At 44.6% G+C, this 25,609-nt stretch overlaps 7 annotated features.

Moving 5' to 3' along the window:
- Positions 6,883–8,082: an enhancer, noted in NCBI's record as "MED14-independent group 3 enhancer chr6:135570900-135572099 (GRCh37/hg19 assembly coordinates)". NCBI's record gives its function as "activates an origin of replication core promoter dependent on BRD2, BRD4, P300/CBP and CDK7 cofactors, and independent of MED14, by STARR-seq in HCT116 cells {active_cell/tissue: HCT116}" and the evidence as "EXISTENCE:reporter gene assay evidence [ECO:0000049][PMID:35650434]".
- Positions 6,883–8,387: a biological region, named in NCBI's record as "MED14-independent group 3 enhancer GRCh37_chr6:135570900-135572099".
- Positions 7,875–8,387: an enhancer, noted in NCBI's record as "OCT4-NANOG hESC enhancer chr6:135571892-135572404 (GRCh37/hg19 assembly coordinates)". NCBI's record gives its function as "activates a minimal SCP1, AML or CMV promoter by ChIP-STARR-seq in naive H9 embryonic stem cells {active_cell/tissue: H9 hESC(naive)}" and the evidence as "EXISTENCE:reporter gene assay evidence [ECO:0000049][PMID:30033119]".
- Positions 9,025–9,525: an enhancer, noted in NCBI's record as "H3K4me1 hESC enhancer chr6:135573042-135573542 (GRCh37/hg19 assembly coordinates)". NCBI's record gives its function as "activates a minimal SCP1, AML or CMV promoter by ChIP-STARR-seq in primed H9 embryonic stem cells {active_cell/tissue: H9 hESC(primed)}" and the evidence as "EXISTENCE:reporter gene assay evidence [ECO:0000049][PMID:30033119]".
- Positions 9,526–10,026: an enhancer, noted in NCBI's record as "H3K4me1 hESC enhancer chr6:135573543-135574043 (GRCh37/hg19 assembly coordinates)". NCBI's record gives its function as "activates a minimal SCP1, AML or CMV promoter by ChIP-STARR-seq in primed H9 embryonic stem cells {active_cell/tissue: H9 hESC(primed)}" and the evidence as "EXISTENCE:reporter gene assay evidence [ECO:0000049][PMID:30033119]".
- Positions 13,890–15,089: an enhancer, noted in NCBI's record as "CDK7 strongly-dependent group 2 enhancer chr6:135577907-135579106 (GRCh37/hg19 assembly coordinates)". NCBI's record gives its function as "activates an origin of replication core promoter dependent on BRD2, BRD4, P300/CBP, MED14 and CDK7 cofactors, with strong dependence on CDK7, by STARR-seq in HCT116 cells {active_cell/tissue: HCT116}" and the evidence as "EXISTENCE:reporter gene assay evidence [ECO:0000049][PMID:35650434]".
- Positions 20,990–21,192: a silencer, noted in NCBI's record as "fragment chr6:135585007-135585209 (GRCh37/hg19 assembly coordinates)". NCBI's record gives its function as "represses an EF-1alpha promoter that drives an FKBP-Casp9 reporter gene in an ReSE screen in phorbol 12-myristate 13-acetate-treated (for megakaryocytic differentiation) K562 erythroleukemia cells {active_cell/tissue: K562(+PMA)}" and the evidence as "EXISTENCE:reporter gene assay evidence [ECO:0000049][PMID:32094911]".

Genomic DNA, 25,609 nt, shown 5'->3' on the forward strand with positions numbered 1-25,609 from the left:
TGAAATAAGACCAGGTGCAGTGGCTTACATCTGTAATCTCAGCACTTTGGGAGGCTGATACAGGAGGATTGTTTGAGCCCAGGAGTTCGAGACCAGCCTGGCCAACATAGCAAGACCTCATCTCTACAAAAAAAATTTTAAAAATTAGCCATGCTCAGTGGTGTACAATTGTAGTCCCAACTACTCATGAGGCTGGGGCAGGAGGACGGCTTGAGCTAGGGAGGATGAGGCTACAGTGAGCAGTGATCATGCCACTACATTCCTACTCCTGCCTGGGTGGTAGAGCAAGAACCTATCTATGTTTTAAAAATTATATCTATCTATCTATCTACCTATCTAGTAGCCTACAAAAAGGTGGTAAAATGGCCACTGTGAAATGTTCAGTAAAGGAACACAGGGTCTATCATTATGCACATATGAAATAAGCTACCATGTAAACAAATGAGAATGCCTAAGAACTAATATTAGATGGAAATTTTCAAAAGGGAAAATAGTTGGGATTTAGTGAGTCCATCTTCCAAATTTTCTTTACTGTTACTTTATATCCCTAACAATAGTAACAAATCATAGACAATGATGAGAAGGAAACTAATGCAAACCCCAACACCTCCAGGCCAGCAGACAGGACCCACTCTTCAGTGTTCACAAGGAGACGAGCAGCTTTTCATTGACCCTGCACATTGCTAGAATATGGATGACAAAGAAAACATAGGAAAATTAAAAGAAATAGACCTGGTCAGGCACAGTGGCTCATGACTGTAATTCCAGCCCTCTGGGAGGCCAAGGCAGGTGGATCACTTGGGTAAGGAGTTCGAGACAAACCTGGCCAACATGGTGAAACCCCAACTCTACTAAAAATACAAAAATTAGCCAGATGTGGTGGCATGTGCCTGTAGTCCCAGCTACTTGGGAGGCTGAGACAGGAGGATCACTTGAACCTGGGCAGTGGAGGCTGCAGTGAGCCAAGACTGAGCCACTGCACTCCAGCCTTGGTGATAGAGTGAGACTCCATCTCAATAAATAAATAAATAAAATAGATCTATTTATGTATTCATTTAAGCCAGGAGATGCTGAAACACATCCCCTTTCTACATACACATGGAAGAATATTATTCAGGTAAACGATTATTCATATTTCCGTGCAAGCTTTTAGCAAGCACCTGATAAAATCTTCTGACTAGGGATTGAGGATTGAGTCACTTATTGGCACTTTGTTGCATTAATCACCACCATCAAATAATAAACTATCAGTCACTCAGTTGTACAGGCTGCTATGCGGGCCTTTATCTGATAACAATGCACTTCACCGTAGTTACAAAGGTACTTTTTCGAAGAAAATAGGATAATTTGGCCTTTGAACAGGATTTCTCCCTCTTCCTATCTACCTTACCCTTGTTTGATTGCTTTGGTGCCTGAATTTGGTCAGAAGGAGGGGAGCAAACGGACTCACTCCCTGCTCTAGGTTTTTGCTGTTGGCATCAGGGAACAGGCTTTCCTTTGTAATGATTAATACCAACATGGTGGAATTTTCCTATTGTTCAGTTGTCATTTCTAAGCTCTGTGTTGCTGTCAGCCTGGCAGCCAAGAAAAACCCCTCTAACAACCCTAGAAACCACTGCCCTGGCTTGGAATCAATGGGCAGCAGTGTTTCTGAGCTGACAGTTTCAGGTGGAAGAGACAGCAGATTTTCAGCTGTACCTGCTTTGGCCTCCTCAACTGTGAAACGCTCCAAGTGCCTATTTCCTTTCAATACCTAAGCCCAAGACTACAAGTAAAAAAGGATCTCCATTTCCTGCCCCTACTTCTCAGGTTGCAAAACTGTCTTTTGACAGATTATTAGAATCTTTAAAGTTGAGAGGTGAGTTTGGGTTAATTTTTTTCACTTTTTCTTTTCCAGTGCTGACACTGATGGTTTTAGAACATCTGAAAATCAGGGTACAATTTAGTTTCTAGGATGGCATTCAACTGCGCGTCTTTCAGAATTCCACTGGCCCTGCGGTGGAGATGCTGGGAAGGGACACTTGGAGGAAGCTGTGGTTGTTAATTAGCAAAGTGTTACTGCAATCTGCGTTTTATATAAGGAATACGGGCCTTTAAAATACTTCTAGTACAGTTCTGGCTTCAGACTGACAGCTTGTTTACTGTTCTATATTGTATAGCTAATATAATTTGGGTCTTGGTAAATAATTGACTCCAGCTGGGCGCAGCAGCTGATGCCTGTAATCCCAGCACTTTGGGAGGCTGAGGCAGGAGGATTGCTTGAGTATAGGAGTTTGAGACCAGCCTAGGCAGCACAGGGAGACCCCATCTCTACAAAAAAAATAAAGAAATCAGCTGGATACAATGGTTCACACCTGTGATCCCAGCTACTTGGGAGACTGAGGTAGGAGGATCACTTGAGCCCAGGTTGGCCCAGGTGAGCTGTGATTGGGCCACTGCATTCCAGCCTGGGTGACAGAGCAAGACATTGTTTAAGAAAAAAGAAAAAAAGAATTGACTCCCTTGTAGACACTGATGTGAGCAATAAACTGGAACAAGACAAGAATCCTGACACTCTGAATATTGTGCTGAGGCCACAGATCATTTAAAACTTACGTATAATACAATGACAGGATTCAGGACATGCTCTCCTAGATACGGTACCTTGCTTGGCACTTGAGAAAACAGCAGAAGCAGGAAAGCCTCCCTCACCTTCCCCACACTCTTCTTTCTGTAGCAGGTCATAACACTCTCATTCCAGGGATGCTGTTCTATCCCATAGGGAAAGAATGTCCTTGTCTCTGAAGACACAAGGATATGGAGAAGAATCTGAACAAACAGCCCTTGCTAAGTTCCCCCCAGTTTATCACCATTTGATCATACCCCTTTTGTCCAATCTCTCTTCTCCACAAGGATCCACTTCTTCATCAAACTTAACATGAAAATGCACAGGTTTCCTTGTCTCCTTGGGTCTTTATTTCTGAAGCCTCCTGTGTCATATAAAACTTACATTAAATAAATTCATATGCTTTTCTCTTGTTAATCTGTCTTCTGTGTAGGGCCTCAGCCTTGAATCTTGATGTGATGAAAAGATATTACTTTTCTCCTCTACAGTTTCTGGTGCCCAGCGTGGGGCAATGGAGACATCACACTCCCTCTGAAGCCTGCAGAAAAGATCCTGAGACAACCGACAAAAAGCCAACAGAAGGTAGGAATTCTCACCTAGGTCAGCTCTCTGCATCTCTGTCTATAATGCCCAGTCAAGACAGGAGGTAAGGCCGGGTGCGGTGGCTCACCCGTGTAATCCTAGCACTTTGGGAGGCCAAGGCAAGTGGATCACCTGAGGTCAGGAGTTCAAGACCAGCCTAGCCAACATGGTGAAACCCCGTCTCTACTAGAAATACAAAATTAGCTGGGCATGGTGGCTCACACCTGTAATCCCAGCTATCTAGGAGGCTGAGGCATGAGAATCGCCTGAACCTGGGAGGTGGAGGTTGCAGTGAGCCACTGCCCTCCAGCCTGGGCGACAGAGCAAGACTCTGTCTCCCAGAAAAAAAAAAAAAAGACGGGGTAAAAATTTCTCCTAGAACCTCCTTTCTCAATTCAGGCCAGCAGGAGAAAACATTTGTTTGGGTTGTGGTATTAAATAAATCTGTCTGCTCTTTTTCTTGTTAATCTGTCTTTTGTTATAGGTATGTTAGGGTAAAGGGGTCTGGATCCAGATGCCAAGAGAGGGTTGTTGGATCTTGCGCAAGAAAGAATTCAGGGCAAGTCCATAAAGTGAAAGCAAGTTTATTAAGAAAGTGGAGGAATAGAAGAATGGCTACTCCGTAGATAAAGCAGACCAGAGGGCCGCTGGTTGCCCATTTTTATGGTTATTTCTTGATAATATGCTAAACAAGGGGTGGATTATTCATGCCTCCCTTTTTTAGACCATATAGGGTAACTTCCTGACGTTGCCATGGCATTTGTAAACTGTCATGGCGCTGGTGGGAGTGTAGCAGTCAGGATGACCAGAGGTCACTCTCGTTGCCATCTTGGTTTTGGTGGGTCTTGGCTGGCTTCTTTACTGCAACCTATTTTATCAGCAAGGTTTTTATGACCTGTATCTTGTGCTGATCTCGTATCTCATCCTGTGACTTAGAATGCCTAATCATCTGGGAATGCAGCCCAGTAGGCCTCAGCCTCATTTTACCCAGCTCTTGTTCAAGACAGAGTTGCTCTAGTTCAAATGCCTCTGATAGGTACCTCAGCCATGGACCTAGTGATGGGTGAGAAAAAGATTGGGTTTTCTCCCTTACAACCCAATCAGGCAAAAAGATGCAAAATTTTGTTTTTTATGTAGATTATCAGACACAATTCTTTATCTGCCTCACCGAGGCAATATTTTTTAGAAAATATTGCCTGCATTACAGTAGTCCCCTGTTATCCACAGTTTCACTTTTTGAGGTTCAGTATTCACAATAAGATGTTTTGAGAGAGAGACCACATTCACATAACTTTTATTACAGTCTATTGTTATAATTGTTCTATTTTATTATTAGTTATTGTTGTTAATCTCTTAATATGCCTAATTTATACGTTAGACTTTCTCATGGGTATGTATGTATAAAAAGAAACAGAGTATATACAGGGTTTATGCTATCCAGGGTTTCAGCCACACACTGTGGGGCTTGGGACATAATCCGCCAAGGATAAGGGTGTGAGGGACAGGACTAGCTGGCCGACTAAGAATCCCTAAGCCTAGCTGAGAAGGTGACCGCATCCACCTTTAAAAACGGGGCTTGCAACTTAGCTCACACCCGACCAATCAGGTAGTAAAGAGAGCTCACTAAAATGCTAATTAGGCTAAAACAGGAGGTAAAGAAATAGCCAATCATCTATTGCCTCAGAGCACAGGGGGAGGGACAATGATCGGGATATAAACCCAGGCATTTGAGCCAGCAACGGCAATCCCCTTTGGGTCCCCTCCCGTTTTATGGGAGCTCGGTTTTCACTCTATTAAATCTTGCAACTCTATTAAATCTTGCAACTGCACACTCTTCTGGTTCGTGTTTGTTACAGCTCGAGCTGAGCTTTTCCTTGCCGTCCACCACTGCTGTTTGCTGCTGTCGCAGACCCACCACTGACTTCCACCCCTCTGGATCCAGCAGGGTTTCCCCTGCGTTCCTGATCCAGGGAGGCGCCCATTGCGGCTCCCGCTTGGGCTAATGGCTCGCCATTGTTCCTGCATGGCTAAGTGCCTGGGTTCGTCCTAATTGAGCTGAACACTAGTCGCTGGGTTCCACAGTTCTCTTCCGTGACCCACGTCTTCTAATAGAGCTATAACACTCACCGCATGGCCCAAGATTCCATTCCTTGGAATCCCTGAGGCCAAGAGCCCCAGATCAGAGAACAAGAGGCTTCCACCATCTTGGAAGTGGCCCGCCACTATCTTGGGAACTCTGGGAGCGAGGACCCCCCAGTAACAGGTGGACTACTGTATTTAAATTTTCCCCTCTTCTCCCATAATGTAAACATCTCACAACATGCAGGTGCTTCCAAGAAATGAGAACAATTTCCAAATGGAATCATGACACTAAAGAAAATTCAGAAATTCAGAAATCTTTAGGTTCATATGGATACAATTTGTATTTTAGACAAAAGAAGTTTGGTTTCCCAGGAGCAACCACAGGATGTGCCCATGATGTCTTGGCAGCCTTTCCTGGTGGCTTCTTCAGTGAGGGCTGATGAGTATCTGCTTTTACTGGGGAACTTGACAGCTGACTTGGGCCTTCCAGGATCCAAACTCCTTATGTGAGGTTACTCAGGCCATCATTCCACAGGAGAGTATCAGAGAAGAGGCCATAAAGGGCAGGAGACCTCAGGATCTGCTCCACTGTGGGGCCTGCTCTGTAGCAGACCCATATACTTTCTTGTTCATGTTCCTTTCTCAATGTAGATGGGCCTCAGTGTCCTCTTGGGTAAAATGGAGATAATAATTCCACCTAGCCGGAGTGGTGGCTTACGCCTATAATCCCGGCACTTGGGGAGGCTGAGGTGGGCGGATCACCTGAGGTCAGGAGTTTGAGACCAGCCTGACCAACATAGAGAAACCCTGTCTCTACTAAAAATACAAAATTAGCCCGACGTAGTGGCGCATGCCTGTAAATCCCAGCTACTCAGGAAGCTGAGGCAGGAGAATCGCTTGAACCCGGGAGGCAGAGGTTGCAGTGAGCCAAGGTCATGCCATTGCACTCCAGCCTGGGCAACAAGGGCGAAACTCCATCTCAAAAAAAAAAAAAAATAATAATAATAATAATAATTCCACCTGATGTGATTGTTTTGAAGAATAAAGATGTTCCCATGAGTCAAACGCCTGGCACAGTGTATTGCCGATAGAACGAACTAAACAATAGCTAGAAATAATGAAAAAATGTAAATATTATAATCAGGATGTGAGGAAAGAGTTTAGTTAGAAAGTCTGTTCTATGTTTCCTACAGGAGATAGACAATCTTTTACAAATCTTGAGTAGAGTTGCGGTCGGTTGCAATACATAAATTTATTCTTACTTTGTACACCTAAACCTAGGGGCTCTTGAATTAAGATGAAAGGTTATGCAAAACTGTATTTTATTACCAGGGCCCAGATCCCTTTTTCTTTTTTTAAAGTAGAACTGCAGGATCCAGAAAAAGCTTAAAAAGACAAAGCACCCTATTCACTTCCTCCCACAGACCTTCCCATTTCCTCTGATTCCATCCCACAATAATTGAACAGCTTTTGTGCAAAGAAAGGAACAAGTGGGTCTCCTTCCTTCTTATCTCCATCGTGCCTGGGCTCAGCTCTGAAAGAAGAAAGTTCTTTTCCAGTAGGTTTGATCTCTTTCCTCTCCTTTCCTTCTGCTAACCAAGGCTTAGTCTCACTCATACCTTCCCTGACGTTTTTACAGATTTTATAGTGTTCGGATTTAAAATATCTCATTCTTCAGGAATCATCTTGCTCTCAAGGCTGAGTTAGAGTTAAAGTAAATGGATTTTGTATTCACGGTTCTGTGTTTTTAACCTCTTTTGGCTACTTTATTTTCTTCAGAGAAGTATTGTTTGGTTCACTGTCTTGATATTTTACTTTTCATTCAAACTCTCTTGTCAATGGGTTAAACCGCAAAGTGCAATTTACAAAATGTTGAGAAATGAAGTATTATTCACTAATAATACAGAGGATAACTGTCACGCACGTCTGTTTGAAGAGACCACCAAATAGGCTTTGTGTGAGCAACAAGGCTATTTATTTCACCTGGGTGCAGGCGGGATGAGTCCGAAAAGAGAGTCAGCGAAGGGAGATAGGCTTGGGCTCAGAGGCCTGACAATAACTAAGGTAAGTTTCTTATTTTGTTGAGCTGGTTCTAGAAGGTAAACAAAAGTTAGTTTAAGTACAGTGTTTCGTTCACATTTATGCAGGGCTCACTCTAGGTGGAGTTCTATTTTGGTGACTGTGGGAAATCACCAAAAATGTGGGAAAAAATGACCCACACACGAGTGACTCATGTAAATTAAATGGGGTGGGGACTTTCAAGAGAGTTTTTTTGCCCAGGTTCCCTATTTCTAAGTATGTCTATAGTTATGTCAATAAATAAGTAATGTCACCCGTGTTCCCCTGTCTGTGGATGAGGGATGCTAAAGTGCGTGATTGCATAACCGCTTAAGATTGTTCTGGAGTGAATGAAGAAGTGTGTGTGTGTGCGCGCGCGTGTGTGTGTGTGTGAATGATACTTGACCATGTGTCTACATCATTTCCAGGGGCTTCAGTGAAGGAGCCTCATTCATTCCATCTCTCTTGCCTCTGGTGTTAGAAACATCTCTGTGCAGGCCTGCCTTGAACAAGGGGTAGACACCGCCTTAGGGAATTAAAAGGTATGTTTTCCAGTGCTTGAGATATAGTGAAGAAATGTGTCAGCTGGTGAAAAAAGCTTGGTCTTCTGGTGAGGTCCCAAGTGGGCCCACAGGCCTTACGGGGGCAGGGCCAGCAGCAGGTTCTTTTCTGGAGAATGCGGGGAGGATACTCCCAGCAAACAAGTGAGGCCTCCGGTAATGCAATCTGACAGTGTTCCCAGTGATGAGTGGCCAGCGGGGAGGGCCAAGAGAGTGCTGGTAGTTAGGGAAGGATTTGCATAATTATATTCACCTGAGGGACTCCATTTACCCAACAATGCGTCTCATTGTGGTAAAGCCAGCAGCTGGCCATACAGTTAGAACAATGTGAGCTTTGGCCTTATTCTTCCAAAACAAATGCTTGGACTTTGAAAAAAAGTGACAATTAGCATTTCGAATGGTATAGAGTTATGAATAGTACACATGTTAGCATGATGTGTAGCACTCTGTATTGTGAGGCGTGCATTTGTATGCAGGACTTACGTTACTTCGCACTACAGCAGAAGGATTATATACTAGTAACAGTACTACATTCCTATGTGCATGACCTACACTGTATACATTTCATATAATAACATACCATATACTTGAGATTTATGCATTAAATGCCCATGAACAAGTGAGATGACTCCTGAAATAGGCATTCTCTCCCAATGTTTGGTAGAGTTAGATATTAAAGGCATTTTCAGTGTAAGGCACTTACTGTTTTAAGCTCAGTACAGTGGCTTTTGTTTTCTGACTGTGAAGGATTACAATGGATTTGAGAGATGTGAATCAGGATTTCGAGGAGGTGCTTTATTGAAGAGGCTGCAGGGTTCACACAGGGCTGGCTCTCTGGCTGGGGGCATGTTTACCTAAGACTCCAAATAGACAGAGTGGAGATATGAGGACCTAGCGCAAATATTGTGCCCGGCTCATTTCCTGGTATTGCCCACATTTACATTCAAAAGGGAGGTGTGGGGAGTGAAGGCTGTGTAGGTTAAGAGGCAATTCTTTTTATTATGCCCAGTAGTTGTTACATTTTGTCCCTCAAAATGAGAACGCAGGATGCATTTCTAAGGGAAGAAAGCCCCTAAAGGGGTTTGTCTATTCTCAACTTTAATGAAGTACACGTTTTAAATATTGCCTTTGTAAGCACAGCAGCATTGGAATTTCTTTTCAGCATTTTATTGAAAAGTAGGGAAATATTGGAGCATTCCAACTGGGGAAGGAAACTAAGCTTCTCCTTTGAAGCTCCAGCTGCACTTAGGTCTAATGCGAAAGGCAGTATTTGCTTTAGCCACTTCCTGACTTTCTGATGAGATGTGGAAACTAGAAGTCAGCAGGATTCCAAAGCTGGGAGTCAAACCCTACGTCCAATCCCTTGGCTCAGTCCCTGTCTTCCAGAGATGGCATCCTGAGTAAAGACAAACACCGCTGGTTTTTCTCTTCCTCCAGATCAGGTAGTGGAATGACAAGTGACTGTCATTCTGCTGCTATGGAGAATGTGCACTCAGAGGAAGAGAGCGGTAAGTCATACATTGCTGGATGGCGGGGCTGTGGTACCTTGCACACACAGGAAGCCTCCTCGGGAGGGCCCCATATGGCAGGCCCCGTCAGTTCTCAAGACCCGGCCTCCCTCTGTGCCTCATCAGCCTGCCACCACCCTGCCACCAAAGTGAGCATTCTCAAACAAAAACTGTCTCCTTGAAATTCCTGTGGCTCCATGACTTATGGCAGTGGTCCTGAATCCTGACCACACATCAGAGCCACCTGGACACAGCCGCACCCCAAACCGTCGCAAACAGAATTCTCAGGGACAGACAGGACACAGAAAGAAAATCTGTGTTTGTAGTTTACTTTTCAAGTCTTTCACCTTTTCGGAATCAGAGACATACTTCCAGCCACACAAAAGAACTCAAGCTTCCATGATGTCTATTTCCAGAGGAATTCCATTTTCCTCCTGAATTGCCTCTGAGGAATCCTGGGTTAAAGGAGGGGAGTGATAGTTCAATTTTCCTTGATTTTTTTCTTTTTCCTGTTACACCAGCTGAGACCTCCTGTCCTCAACTTTTTCCTTGATCAGTTTGGAGGTCTCGATATCTGTCTTTGTATCAATTTACCCTCTTCTTTCCCCAGGACATCCCCACCACCAGGCTGTCACTGAGCAGTGGTATAAAGCTTAACTAATAACCTGGTATAAAACTTAACTGAAGACCTTAAGGTATAAAGCTTAACTAATGCTGACACTGAGCAGTGGTATAAAGCTTAACTAATGACCTAATGATGAAAGACAGCAATAGGAAACAACATAATATTCCATACCAGACACCACTGCTCCTGCGTGACTTGGCCCTTCCCACCATTAGACAAGTTAGCGCCTGGCCATTGCTGTCCTGATGCCCTGACCTTATCTGCCCCCTGCCCCTTCTTCCCCTCTTATCTCCTGTCCTGTACTCCAGTTTCAAGGTCTTTCCCTTTCTCTCTAACCCAAAAATCATCTCCGACTTCCTCTGGGAACCACCCAGATGATGCCCAAGTTGAAGGCATCTTCCCCACGTTCTGACCACCACCCTTTGTTTTGCAGAGCAGCTTTGCACTTTTGGCATCAAGCTCCCCCTCCAGCCAAGCCCCTCTGAGCCTTGTATCTAAGAAACAATATTAGCATGCATTTCCTAAAGAAAGCATTCTCTGAAAACAAATTCTTTCATTTTCTCTACAGTGTCAGATTTTTAAAATTGCAAATATCTTTCTTGCCGGAACTGATTCTCAAAAGCTCTCCAGATGATTCTGCTACAGCTGATCCCCTGAAGGTGTCTGGGAACCAGGGCCTTCTTCTCTGTGGAAGTGTTACTGGAAAGGGGGTCCCTACCAAGACCCCAAGAGAGAGTTCTTGGATCTTGCACAAGAGAGAATTCTGGGCGAGTCCACAGAGTAAAGTGAAAGCAGGTTTATTAGAGAAGTAAAGAAACAAAGGATGGCTATTCCATAGGCAGAGCAGCCCCGAAGGCTGCTGGTTGGCTATCTTATGGTTGTTTTTTGATCATATGCTGAACAAATGATAGATTATTCTTGAGTTTTCTGGGAAAGGGGTGGAGATTCCCCCCCAACTGAGGGTTCCTCCCCTATTTAAGACATATAGACTAAGTTCCAGATGTTGCCATGGCATCTGTAAACTGTGATGGCACCAGTGGGAGTGTCTTTTAGCATGCTAATGCATTATAATTAGCATGAAACGAGCAGTAATGACGACCCAGGTCACTTTCATGGTATTCTTGGTTTTGGTGGGTTTTGGCCAGCTTCTTTACTGCATCCTGTTTCATCAGTAGGGTCTTTATGACTGACCTGTATCTTATGATACCAGTCCCGCCAACTTCTTATCTCATCCTGTGACTAAAAACGCTTAAACTCCTGGGAATATAGCCCAGCAGGTCTCATCTTCATTTTACGCAGCCCCTATTCAAGATGGAGTCATTTTGTTTCAAATACCTCTGGCAGAATATGCTAATGAGAGCCTAGGCCATCTTGTAGATGGACTCCTGCTTATCCCAGGAGAATTTTTTCCACCTTTTGCTCCATGTAACATCAATGTAACTTTTCCTTTTGTCACACTGCTATACTTTGTACCTATCAGTCTGGAAGCAGTCATCTTGCAGTAAGGGGATTTAGGGGTTGTCACTTTCAGACTTCCCAACTGGTCCGAGAGCACCTTGAAAGCAAGTCTTGCTCATTATGATGTCTCTGGCAGTTCAGTATGCTTGGCACAGAGGGGAGTCTTCCACAGTGTTTACTGAATGAAGATGTGGAATGATAATGCATGCTGGATTAGGCAATAAGGAGGTCATTAGTGACACTGGTCAGTCTCCAAGAGATGCTCACTAGGGACAGGCTGCTCCCAGAGCTGCTGCTGTTGGGACCTGTACACAAGTGCTTAACTGATGGGATCCTCCCCACCTCCACTCTCTAGCCACACCCTCTGATATGGCCTCAGCCCTAAGGAAGGATGTCATATACTTACTGATCTACACAGACGGTCATGGTTTTAGTTTGTCAGTGGGAGGAGGCCCCTGTGAACTCACTCAGAGGCACTGCCCCTGTAGCAGAGTCCTTGGCTGCTGTATTGCTCCCATCTCCTGAGATAGCAGTCATGATTAGAACCCTACTGCATCACTGTATTCCATTTTCTCTGTGAAGGGGATAAACCTATCACAGAGTGAAAGGAAGGTACTTTAGGAAGGCCATCATCACCTCACATCTGAAAAATGTTCAAAGAGCCCAAGATGTTCCACAGGCAATTCAAACTCCACATGTGCAAAACACAAGTCTTCACCTCTCTTGGGCACATCTGCCCTCCTCCTGCATGTCCTTCATTGGGTACACCTGATTGCCAACCTAGAAGTCCTTTTGCTTCACCACTCCTCTCAGTCTGCCCACAAGTATTACTGGGTTCACCTCAGAAGGCTAGTTCCCATTACCACCTCCCCTTCATTCTTCCCTCACTGCCCCGCCTTGGTCCAGCATCCTCCCGTGATTAGATAATGCTTTCCTCACAAGTTTCATTTCCAGATGCCCTCCAGATATCCTCTAAAAACAGGATCTGATTGCCCTGTGGTATGGTTTGGCTGTGACCCCACCCAAATCTCATCTTGAATTGTAGCTCCCGTAATTTCCACGCATTGCGGGAAGGACCTGGTGGGAGGTTATTGAATCATGGGGGCAGGTCTTTCCCATGCTGTTCTCATGACAGTGAATAATTCTCACGAGATCTGATGGTTTTATAAATGAGAGTTTCCCTGGACACAACCCCATCCCTGCACACGCTCTCACTTGCTGGCCGCCCTTCATAAGACCTCCCTTTGCTCTTCCTTCATCTTCCACCATGATTGTGAGGGCTCCCTAGCCATGTGGAACTGTAAGTCCATTAAATCTCTTTCCTTTATAAATTATCCAGTCTCAGGTATGTCTTTATTGGCAGCATGAGAATGGACTAATACACCTTGCTTTAAACACTTGCATGTCCCTTCTTTACTCTCAGCCCACTGGACGAGTCCTGACTCTCTAGTTTGGTATACCAACCCACTGACTTCTGTGCCCACCTACCCCTCTGGGCTTTTCAGCAGCGCCTGCACGGGAACAGTGCTTCAGCCAGTTTCCTGAGCATGACCAGCTCCTGCAGCCTCCCTGGCTTTGCACACGCTGTTCCCTGTGCCTGCACCCTCCCCCCTGTGTGTTGGACTCATCGCCAGCTGACTGAATCCCCCTCCAAGTTCTCTGTGCCTTCGCTGTGCAATTGTGCACACCACATTGTCACACTTAGTGTCCACGTGCAATCATTTATTTTATCTTCCCCACAGGACCTTGGTGTCATGAAAGGTGATGAGTTGTTCATTTTTCTCTCCCCACAATCTGTTGAAGTGTCTAGTATGTATTTGGTACAAAGTAAATCTTTATCAAATTGAAAGTCTATCGGGGCTGGGTGTGGTGGCTCACGCCTGTAATCCCAGCACTTTGGGAGGCCAAAGCAGGCAGATCACTAGAGGCCAGGAGTTCGAGCCTGGTCAACTTGGTGAAACCCTATCGCTACTAAAAATACAAAAAAATTAGCTAGGCGTGGTGGCATGTGCCTGTAGTCCCAGCTACTCAGGAGGTTCAGACAGGAGAATCACTTGAACCCGGGAGGTAGAGGTTGCAGTGAGCCAAGATTGCACCACCGCACTCCAGCCTGGGCAACAGAGAGAGACTCTGTCTCAAAAAAAAAAAAAAAAAAAAAAAAGTCTATCAGCAGGGACCTCAACAGCTGTACAATGGAATAATGGAATAGCAGGCAACTACCAAGAATGAGTTAGCTCCACACATATTGATGATAATTTCAGGGTGGTATTCACAGTGTACCCTTATTTTTTGTAAAAGTAGAAAAATAACTCTTTACATTTGCTTTTGCCTATCTGAATGTAGAGAAACATATGGAAGAAATGCTTGATTGACCCAGTGAGCGAGATTGGAGGAAGGAGAGGAAGGGTGATTTTCTTTATAACTCTATTGTTTGACTCCTCACAAAAAGCTTTATTGCTTCTGTAAAACCAATTAGGCAAAATCAAGTAAATGGTTGCTGGATGAGTAAATAGTAAACTTCAGGAAAGAAGTTTTCAGAAAAGGAGGAACACTGTTTCTGTTTCCTCTGAAGAAAACCAAAATTGGCAGAACATATAATTACAGTATTATTATTCACTTTGCAAAGGAATTTTCTCTCCCCTAAAAGGATCTTCGTGGGCTTCTTTTTAAAAGGCAACTCCAGTAAAGCTCTGACGCATTTCATCCTCTTCGTCATGACATTAACTGCAGTACTTGACAGAGGGTGGGGCTGAGAAAGAGAAAGTTTTAAGAGTCGGTGCCAATTGAAGATCAATCTGCAATGAGATAAGCTCCATTGATATTATAATGTAATTATGGGGGAAATTATTACATTGAAAAAATTCAAAGTTCACCTAGCTTTTCTGGAGGAGAGGCACCAGAGGAGCCCACTGGGAGGAGAAGGGAAGGTGTCCTGCTTCCCAGGGCTGGGGACCACAGGCAAGGCCATGGGCTTGAGGGCACTTCTCCAAACTCTAGCAGATAAATTATGCCCAAATCCCACATCTTACTGAGAAAGCAGGTGTCTGCAATTAGTCACAGAAGGGAGGTGGGTGGTCGTGGGCAGAGAAGAAAAAATTTTTTAATAAAAAAATAAAAATTAGGCAAAATAGAACTTGACAGTCACCATGCAAACAGAAGAAACACTACGAAAGTGACATCATTAGCATGGCTGTGGGCCTGTCTTATCCTTTGGTCTCTAAAGCAGGAGACAATGAGAGCTACTTACTGACTCATTTTTAGTATTTGATAAAAGAAAAAAAGTCAATCAATCAGGCTTACCTTATTGACTTACTAATGTCCTTGTCACTAAGGGATAATTTTAAAAAGGATTTTTCTATCAAAAGAAGAGAAATCAATTCATAGACCTCTTTGGGCTCCAACCCACAATTCGTATAGGATAAAATCAAGTTTAAAATAGAGAGTGCACCCATAAGGTTGAGAAGACATCTTGTGGTGACTCCTTTGCATAACATGAAACAAGGTTGGTTGGCCTTTCTCTGTAAAGAGCAAGATAGTAAATATTTCAGGCTTTCTGGGCCAAGAAATACAATCAAGGATATTATGTAGTTACTTGTATAACAAGAGCAAAACCATTTTTCCCCACAACTTTTAAAATAGATCAATTTCAAAATTTTATGACCAGTACAGTTTGCATTTTATATTGTTTTCATGTGTCATGAAATAATATTCTCATTAAATTTTCCTGCAAGCATTTGAAAATGGAAAAAGCATTCTTAGCTTGTGGGTCACATAAAAACAGGTTGTGGCCTGGATTTGGCCCTGGGGCCATCATTTGCTGACCCCCAACATAGAACACTTCTGAGTCATGTCAGGGTCCTTAATCAGTTAGGTCATCCAAGCTCAGATTGAACTGGGACATGGTTTCAGAATCCTTCTCAACACTGCATGCCTGCCATAATGTGGGTAGGGAGAGGCTGTTGGCTCTGCAGTAGCCACCTGATGGCTGCTTAAAGGACCGTGAACTCAGTTATCACCAGCATTTTCCCTACTCTTTCAGATCTGGGTGCAGTTGGCTCAGTCCTCCATCCCCAGCCTCGGGAAAGTCTCTCTCCCAGATTTCCGCTCCTCCTCAACAAGCTTGCATGTTGTGCCAAGGAGCAATCGCTTCTGCTGCTACGAATTCACTTGCCCTTGTGAATTCACGTGCCCTTCATCCTTGCCTCATCCAGAACAGAGAATACAATTATTTTAATATTTTATGTATTTTTTATAAGCCTACAGAGTTTTAATGGAAGTTTGGAGAGACAATGGCAGTTTACACAGCAGAAGTAACAGCATCTGCTCAGTGTCATTGTTTAAGTCATCATCATAGCTAACACTTCCAGGAAATTTATTTCTTTTGCCAGGAGGTTTTCACATGTTATTTAATCCTGCAATAATCAGTAGAAATAGGCTTTTTCTTTTTAACAGTTATTATCCTGTTTTACAAAAAAGAAATGAAGCTTAAGAGATTGAGCAGCTTGCTAATCACAGAGCAAGTTAATGATAGAGATGAATTTTGAACAGTCAAGTCAGGCAGTGACTTATGCCTGTAATCCCAGCACTTTGGGAGGCCAAGGCAGGCGGATCATTTGAAGTCAGGAGTTCAAGACCAGCCTGGTTAACGTAGTGAAACTCCGTATGTCTTAAAAATACAAAAATTAGTCGGGCATGGTGGCAAACGCCTATAGTCATAGCTACTAGCTAGGCTGAGGTGGGAGGATCGCTCAAACCTGGGAGGTGTAGGTTGCAGTGAGCTGAGATTGCTTCATCTCACTCTAGCCTGGGCGGTAGAGTGAGATTCCATCTCAAACAAACAAACAAAAACCACAATCAATGACCCAGAATGCAATCAATGACCCAGAGCCCATGCACCTAAACACAACACAGTTATCCCTCTACAGCACTTTAAGTGAACATCAGACTTTGTTGTTGTTGTTGTTGTTGTTGTTGAAAGTTCTTCTATCACCTCCCTGGGAATTCTCACTGGCCTGACCACCTCATAAAATGTCCTGGCTTCTACCCACGCTCCTGGCTCCTCTCCTTGCCCATGTCTTTCTCACCTCTTCTCCCAGATTGTTTTCATGAACTCTTAATACCTTGATCCAATTCTTTAGAGTAATTTAGCTCTTGCTAGCTCATGTTCCCAAACTGAGCTCTAGCAGAAGCCTTCTGAGGGACATAATGTCATTTTACAGGAAGAAACTATTGATTGGCCAATTGCATGTGGAAAACTAGGAGAAGGCCCATAAGGAGAAGGTGGAAGAAATGAAGCACACTAGAAAATCAGAAAATTGCGGGATGTTTTTCTTTCTGAGAGAGAAGAGGGACAGTAAACAAGTGAGAGTGCATGAAGGCAGAGAAGATGTAAGACTTTTTAAAAAAAAGAGGTTGCTTTGCCCCAAACTATTTAGTCAGGTCTTCTACACACAAAAATGCCTTGTGAGAAAATGGAGAATGTGGGAAATCAAGAAATGAAGAATTCGCTGGAGATAAATGGTGGGAAATGAATGTAAGCTCCCTGAGCATTTAAAGAAGTTCTGTAAACTTTCCATATTGGATTTTTGACACTGGACTTTCTACAGGGTACATTATTGTTATCTAAATCTTTGGAAACAGGGTGAATCTACATGATAGAGTGGAAGCCACAAAGGAAGAAGAAGAAGAGATTCTATCTGGGTATGGAGAATGAAAAAAAAAAAAGGTGTAAAGAGGGTGAGTGTACAGTCATCTGGAAGCCATGTCACAGAGAGGAGGGGAGAGATTAAAAGGGATCTGAATAAGAGCAGGATGGTGGGGCTTGAAAGGATGGGATGAACATGAGAGACGTGATGACACTGGTCAACAGAGATCTCTCTAGGGATGTCAACCAGAAAGGGATGTAATGTAGGAAATTAGGTGTTTTTACACTTCTTTAGGAGGGCAAGAGAAACGGGCTCTGGGCTGAACTCCAGGAATGAACAACATTGCAGAATGGCCCTCCTGGGAATTGCACCCCTGACTCAACAGTAGTAGGGTATCAGGAGACCACTTTTAGCACAATAGATTTCTGAAAGAACCCACCCTAGCTGAGGCAGGTACTGCGGTCACTGCAAGTACTAGCTGGAGAGCTATGCTAGGCTGCTCCATGTGCAACAGCAAAATGTGTAGAGCCCAGCCCCTGCCTTGCAGCCCCCATTGCAGCAGTGACTGGACACAGGAGCACCATTGTGCTTGACAGCAGAAACCAGCAGAGAAAGATCTCTTCCGCTTCATCCTGCCCTTCAGATTCCACACGAGTGCTTCTTATGGGGGATCTTAATTCCATTAAGAACCCTGCCCTGCCAAGCCATACTGGAGTCAGAGGCAAAAGGAAATGTCAGTAATACTGCGTTACTTTTTATTTTTATTTATTTATTTATTTATTTATTTATTTATTTATTTATTTATTTTGACAGGGTCTGGCTCTGTCATCCAGGCTGGAGTGCAGTGACTCAATCATGGCTCACTGCAGCCTTAACTTCCGGACCTCAGGTGATTCTCCCACCTCAGCCTGTCAAGTAGCTGGGACTACAGGTACACACCATCATTCACAGCTAATTATTTTGTTTTTTTTTTTTTTTAAATAAAGACAGGGTTTCACCATGTTGCCCAGGCTGGTCTCGAACTCAAGAACTGAGCTCAAGCAATCTGCCTGCCTCCATCTCCCAGACTGCTGGGACTACAGGTGCAAGCCACTGCACCCGGCTACTTTTTAATTTTTCAAAATACTGCATTAAGAGTATTTATCTTGGCTGGGCGCGGTGGCTCACGCCTGTAATCCCAGCAGTTTGGGAGGCCGAGGCGGGCGGATCACGAGGTCAGGAGATCAAGACCGTCCTGGCTAACACGGTGAAACCCCGTCTCTACTAAAAAAAAAAATACAAAAAATTAGCCGGGCGTAGTTGCAGGCGCCTGTAGTCCCAGCTACTCGGGAGGCTGAGGCAGGAGAATGGCGTGAACCCGGGAGGCGGAGCTTGCAGTGAGCTGAGATCACGCCACTGCCCTCCAGCCTGGGCAGCAGAGTGAGACGCCATCTCAAAAAAAAAAAAAGTGTGTTTATCTTGATTACTGAGTTTTTTGATGCCCCTTAAATTTTGTGCCTGGGGTGCCTTGCTTGCCTCATCCTAGACCTGGCCCTGTTAAGAACCCCAGTTACAAGGGAGTCTTAGAAATACCGTTTTTAGCTTTTCATCCTCTGTGGTACTGACGGCACCATGGAAGAGGCTGGGATGAAGGTAGCACCATCTACGAGAGCCCTGTCAACTTGGCTAGGGCTGTAGAATCCAGCTGTTTGGTCAAACACCAGTCCAGATGTTGCTGTGAGGTATTTTAAATAAATATTTTATTTTGTAAGAAAAATAACAAACTTTTTTGGAAACAGTCTCTCTCTGTCACCCAGGCTTGAGTGCCATGTCCCTATCATAACTCACTGCAGCCTGGAACTCCTGGGCTCAGGCAATCCTCCTGCCTCACCCTCCCAAGTAGCTAGGACTACAGGTGTGAGTCACCACAATCACCTAGTTTCTTCATTTTTTGTAGAGACGGGGTCTCGCTATGTTGCCTAGGCTCGTCTTGAACTCCTGGCCTCAAACAATGCTCCAGCCTCGACCTCTCAAAGCGTTGGTATTACAGGTATGAGCTACCATGCTGGCTGTTATTTTTTAGATGTGACTGACATTTAAATCTCTGAGTAAAGCAGGTGACCCTCCCTAGTGTGAGTGGCCTCATCTAATCAGTTGAAACCTTCCATAGAGAAACCGAGGTTCCCCTCACTCCTAAGAGGAAGGAACTCTGCCTCCAGACTGCCTTCTGGCTCAAGACAACATCAGCTCTTGCTGGAATTTCCAGTCTGCCCTGCAAACTGCCGGTTCCCACCATTGTATGAGCCAGTTCCTGAAAGTAAATCTTTATCTCTATTTCTATTTCTGTCTCTGTCTCTATTGTCTCTATCCCTATCTCTATCTCTCCTCTTTGGTTCTGTTTCCTGGGAGAACCCTGACTAATACACTTGGAGGAGGTGACAGAGGTGAAGGGCCAGTCTGCTAGCTCTACCACGGTGGAGATGGAAGTAACAATACTGGGTAAAAATACCCTTCATATAGTAGGAGAGAAGGAAGAGGCTAAGTTGGTTCCCAGGTTCCTGTGTGGGTGACCGCGATAAGGACGACAGATGCAGTACCAGATATCTCCATGAGAAAACAGAGCACGTGCTCGTCGTCTTTGGAAGATGCCATTCCCTGATCTCCCACATGCAGCTCTGTTCCAATGCATGAGATCCACCCTGTGTATTTCACACGTTGGTTGCCTGGGACAAGTAATTTGGTTATTTGCTTGCTTATTCATTCATTAAATGCATGCTTATTAAGTGTGTCCTGTGTCAGGTACTATTGCAGGCTTGGGAGAAACAATGGTGAATGAAAGCTGAGATGGCTTCTTTCATGATGTTTTCAATCTAATTCAGAGAGATGTGACAAACAAACACAACACAAACAAAGGGAACAGTGTCAGATAGCGATGTGTGCAGCCGGAACAGTGAAACAGGGCAGTGTGATGGAGGTGCAGGGAGTAGGTGCTGCCTGACACGGCCACTCACGTTGAATATGCCAGGACCTCCATTCCAGCATCACATATGGTCTAAGTGTGGGGGAACATTGACCTGTCCTGTGTGTAATCAGCTAGAATGAAAGGAAAGAGCCCCAGCTTTATATGACAAGTTACTAAAGGAGAACCCGAGCCCAGGACAAATGTCTGTGATGAACACCTTCTTCCTCTCTTAGTCTATTCAGGCTAAAGTACCATAGGCTGGGCAACTTAGAAATACAGACTTTTTTTCCTACCCATTCTGGAAGCTGGGTGCCGGCAGATTTGTTGTTTGGTGGGGGCCTGCTTCCTGGTTCCTAGACGGTGTCTTCTAATGGTATACAAATGTGGTGGAAGGAGTGAGGGTTCTCTCTTGAGCCTCTTTTATAAGGGCACTCATCCTATTCATGGGAGCTCCACCCTTATGACCTAATCACCTCCTAAAGACCCTGCTCCCTAATATCATCACCCTGGGGGTTAGGATTTCAACATGTGAAACTGCAGGGGACATAAACATGCAGGCCATAGCCGTTCTCCATGCTGATAGGTAATGGGCAGTCACTGAATGAGTCTCTGTGAGGCAATGGAGGGGGAGCTGGGTGGCAAGGCCCAGGCCCAGGCTGAGTCTACAAAGAGCAGCATCAGGATCTGCCGGGAGACAGAAGCTCTTTGGGGTGAAGGTGATGCCTCTTCGTTGTTGTGTTTCCAGCAGCGACACAGCATTTGGCACATGGCAAGTCCTCTGTAAATACTGGTTGATGAATTAAGGAATCCCTTGGCTGAAGGTGGAGGGGACCGGCTACTGCGGGACCAGGGAGCCTTTGCATTTTGGATGATTTCTTCATACTTGGGAGAAGTATTTTCCTCCTTCCATAAGACAAGTCCCAGAGCCTTCCAGGTGGGAAGGACTGTCTGGCCAAATGACTCTGACTTTGTCTTTTTTATTTCAACACTTGCTGTTCCCTGGGGGACTACGATTCACTTTAATGCTCCCACCAAAGTGAGGCCAGCTAGTCCTTCCCGTCTGGGAGGCTTTCCTTAGGTTTGCCACCTTAGCACAGCTGAGATGGCCCGGGAATTTAGGAAGCCTTCTTTAGCTGCGAAGGGAGTGGAAAAGACGACTAAGCCAAGAGCATGCATGAGGAATAAAAGCGGTCAGGTTTCTGCTGTCTGGTATTCCTCATCTTTCTATAATTTTCTGGCTTTGGTGCTCCATGCTATGCAGAAAGAACACCAAAAGATGAGTACAGTTTTTCAGACAACCTGACTCAGCCCTAGGCCCATCTTCACAAATAGGGAACAAATCTTACTTCCCTTCCACACTGAAACGGGTATTTGCCATTAAGAAAAGATCACCGGATTCAACAAATCAAAGTATAGGGCACTCAGTTAAATTTGAATTTCATGTAAATAACACAGAATTCTTTGATATAAATATGTCCCAAATATTGCAAGTTCCAAATGTGGCACGAGGCATATGTATCTTAAAAATGATGTACTGTTTATCTGAAATTTAAATTTGACTGGGAGTCTTGTATTTTATCTGGCAACTCAAGGAAAAGATTTGAACCCTGCCACTAGCATAGGGCCTTTCCATTCAGGGCTCATCCCGGGTTCCTGCCTGAGGCCTCCACACCTCCCTCCAGAGTTTGGTGGAACTTTTATAACTGTTCCAATAAGTGGCTTCTCCCTTGACTGGAGACCCTACCCACCTCCATGCCTACACGCGCAGGGGTCCTCGCCTGTCTGGACAGAATCTCAATATCTGAATCATGCATGGAGCATACCAGCCACACAACAGGAATTACACACTTCATCACAGTTTATCTGGTAGGCGTAGAAGAGCTTCGTATTTTTCTTTGGGAACACAAAGCTCAGTTCCCCCAATGACCATGCTGAAAAATCCCAAGGACAGTAAGCTTCATGACAGATACAGTGGCTATTCAGAGGAGAACACATCAATTTCTCTTACATATCAGAGGATTAAATAGTCAGCCAACCCTAAGACATGCCCAGGAGGGCCGGGCACGGTGGCTCACGCCTGTAATCCCAGCACTTTGGGAGGCCGAGGCAGGCGGATCACGAGGTCAGGAGATCGAGACCATCCTGGCTAAAACGGTGAAACCCCGTCTCTACTAAAAATACAAAAAATTAGCCGGGCGTAGTGGCGGGCGCCTGTAGTCCCAGCTACTTGGGAGGCTGAGGCAGGAGAATGGCGTGAACCCGGGAGGCGGAGCTTGCAGTGAGCCGAGATCCGTCTCAAAAAAAAAAAAAAAAAAAAGACATGCCCAGGAGCTATTTTCAGCTCTGTTTTAACCTGTTGAGCTCCAAATAGAAACTTCTATATTTTTATCTTATGTTACGCCTCCCTTGAGGGAGTCAGTCTATAGGGTAGTGAGGTTAAAAAGAAATAACTAACAACTTTCAAGAAAACAATCTAAAATAAGCACCTGTGTGGCGATTATAAAAATATACAAATTTCCTTTGCCTCTAGTGGTCATGTTGAAGCCCACACATTTGTGATGTGCATTGAGCCACACAGTTCTTTTCCATTTGCCCTTTTAGGTGAGATCTGCTAGATTTCCTCCCTCCCCCTCACATGATCAGTGCAGGATTTCTTGCTTTCTCTTGTTGAAGCAGAGTGATAATACTGTTTAACCCTTGATTCAAATATCCTGGGTAATGGCCACATGCCCCGTAATGAAATACGTCCAAAGATTAGCTGGAAGTCCCGGGCCTGCTTCTCTTACTAACTCTGGCTGTCTCAGTAGTGTTTACAAGTGTCTCTAGTTACCTCCCTTTCTCCTTTGCTTAAGTGGGCACGAGATTTTGAATTCCTTAATAGATTTTAAGTTCAGCAAGAACAAGGACCTTGCCTTGTTCACTGTTCTATTGGTTTGCTAGGGCTACCATATAAAATATCACACACTAAGTGGCCTAAGCAACAGAAATTTATTTTCTCACAGTTCTCATAGTTCTGGGGGCTGGAAGGCCAAGATCAAGGTGTTGGCAGGTTTGGTTTGTGCTGAGGCCTCTCTCCTTGGCTTGTAGGTGGCCGCCTTCTTTCTGTGTCCTTACATGGTCTTTCCTCAGTGCACGAGCCTTTGAGTGTTCTTGTCCGTAAAATTTCCTCTTCTTAAAAGGACACCAGTCAGTTGGATTAGGGCCCATGCTAACAACCTTATTTTAACTTAATAGCCTTAAAAATTTTATTATTATTTTTATTATTTTAGAGACATGGTCTCGCTCTGTCACCCAGACTGGAGTGCAGTGGTGCAACTATGGCTCACTGCAACCTTGAACTCCTGGGCACAAGTGATCTTCCCACTCCAACCTCCTGAGTAGCTGGGACTACAGGTGTGCATCACCACATCTGGCTAATTTTTAAATTTTTTGCAGAGACAGGGTCTCACTGTGTTGCCTAGGCTGGTTTTAAACTCCTGGCCTCAAGTGATCCTCTTGCCTTGGCCTCCCTAAGTGCTGAGCCACTGCGCCCAGGCCTTAATCATGTTTCTAAAGGTCCTATCTCCAGATATGGTCACATTCTGAGGTTCTAAGGGTTAGGGCTTCAATATATGAATTTCAGAGAACATGTAATTCAGCCCATAACAGTCACCATTAGTCCAATAACTAATGTAGTGCCTGGTACATGATAGATGATACATCTTTTTGTACTCATTTGTTGAGTGAGTTCAAAAACTTTGATAATGTCATTGGTGAGGCACATTTACTTAGAGCTTCTTGTTAAGCCAGAGCATCGGGTTTTTAAGCTTCTTTCCTTCCTACACACCTTAATGGTCATCCGTTGTGTCATGGAAAGTCATCTGGTCATGTATATAACTTGTATGACACCCTCCCTTCCACAGAGGATGCTGTATAGTAAGCGTGTGTCTCACACTCGCAGGCAGAGAGCCTGTCCTATCCACGTCGTTGCCACCTGCCCTACGTGCAGCAGGCTGCGATGGTGACCCAGGCTCCCAGCTGTCATTCTCCAGCCCTCCTTTTGGCAAATGCTTGACATGCATCTCCACATTTCCTTTATTTCCTTCAAATTGGGAAGAAAAAAAAATAGAATCTGTCAAAGATCTCCTGCTACTTGTGTGGGGAGAAGGGGAGCCTCAACAACTTACCCATTGTCTAGGCGTTGCTCTACCAGTCTTTCAGGAAAAAGAAAAAAAAAAGCCCCAAAACTTTGATCCCTGGGGAGGTGAAGCGGAAGTTGATCTTCACCATTAAATTTTTTTATAGATAGCAAAGTCCATGCTTCCACCTGCATCCAAAGCACAGAGGCAGCTGGCAGAACAAAGCACCAGAGAAAAATAGCTGACCAGAATCTCTTAAATTGCCTGTGTACAGGTGCAGCTTGTTTTTCATCTTGGTGGCAGCCACTAGTGATTGACAATGTTTTACCCAGAGGACTTAACCCTTTTTTTGCCTAGATGAGCCAAAGAGACCAGTCTCATGGTTTAGAAAACAGTTCATACCCCTCTGTAGGTTCTAAGCATTCAGCCCAAAGGCATGGGAACTGTACTTCGAACTAATGCCACCTGCAACAAAAGAAGGAATGACACGATGTCAGAGAAAAAGTTTTAAAAAAATATTGCTAGGTCTCTCCAGCTTTGAAGCCAAGGCTGGGGCATGTCTTATTTTTTTAATCAATAGATAGATGGAGACAGCATGTGACGAATGTGCCTCTGGAATGGGATGCGTTACAAGTTGAACTCTCTGGGTGTTAAGTCTTAAGCTACCTGTCCCAGAAAACCAATCCCTTTATGCCCTCAGCTTTTTTTTTTTTTTTTTGGATTACCATTAAACAAATTATTTTAGATGGTAGCAAGCAGTAGAGAGGAGACAACATCGTGCGGCCTAGTTTAAAAACCTCCAAAGACAGAGAACTGGGCAGCTTCACTGGTCCTGAGCTGGTTCGGTTGTGTTTCCCCCAGGATTCCCATTGCATCTCACCTGGGTTACTTTTCATAGTTGTGTGCAAGGACATTTGCCACTGGGGAGTCCCCCACCCAAGTGGTTGCATTTGTGTGGAGACCAGACAGACAGGACTATAGGGAGAATGCTCTCTCTCTGGTGGTTTTGAGGGAGCGTTGATGGAGGAATGAATTGGGAGATTACACTGGGATGTGGGCAATCTTTATTAAAGGAAGAAGCAAAAACTGTGAGTACTGCAGGAATGGCTCTCAGGACCATCACAAGAGTTAAACATTTGGAAAGAAGCTAAGCACAAGGGAGGAATAACCTCCTAAACACTGAGCCCTCCTAGGGAGAGAAGGGAAGTTGGTAACTGGTGATTATAAGCTAGCACTTCAAGGGAAGGCCCCAGAGCTGTTGGGGTGGGGGCGGAGGTGCTCCTCAGCAGGGTCCTGAGGCAAGGCAAAGAGCTTGCTTTAAAAATATATGTATTACTTTTTTTAGAGACAGGGTCTTGCTGTGTTGCCCAGGCTAGACTGCAGTGATGCAATCAGGGCTCACTGCAGCCCTGACCTCCCGAGCTCAA

This window comes from Homo sapiens, chromosome 6 (genome assembly GCF_000001405.40).
Source record: "Homo sapiens chromosome 6, GRCh38.p14 Primary Assembly".
NCBI lineage: Eukaryota > Metazoa > Chordata > Mammalia > Primates > Hominidae > Homo > Homo sapiens.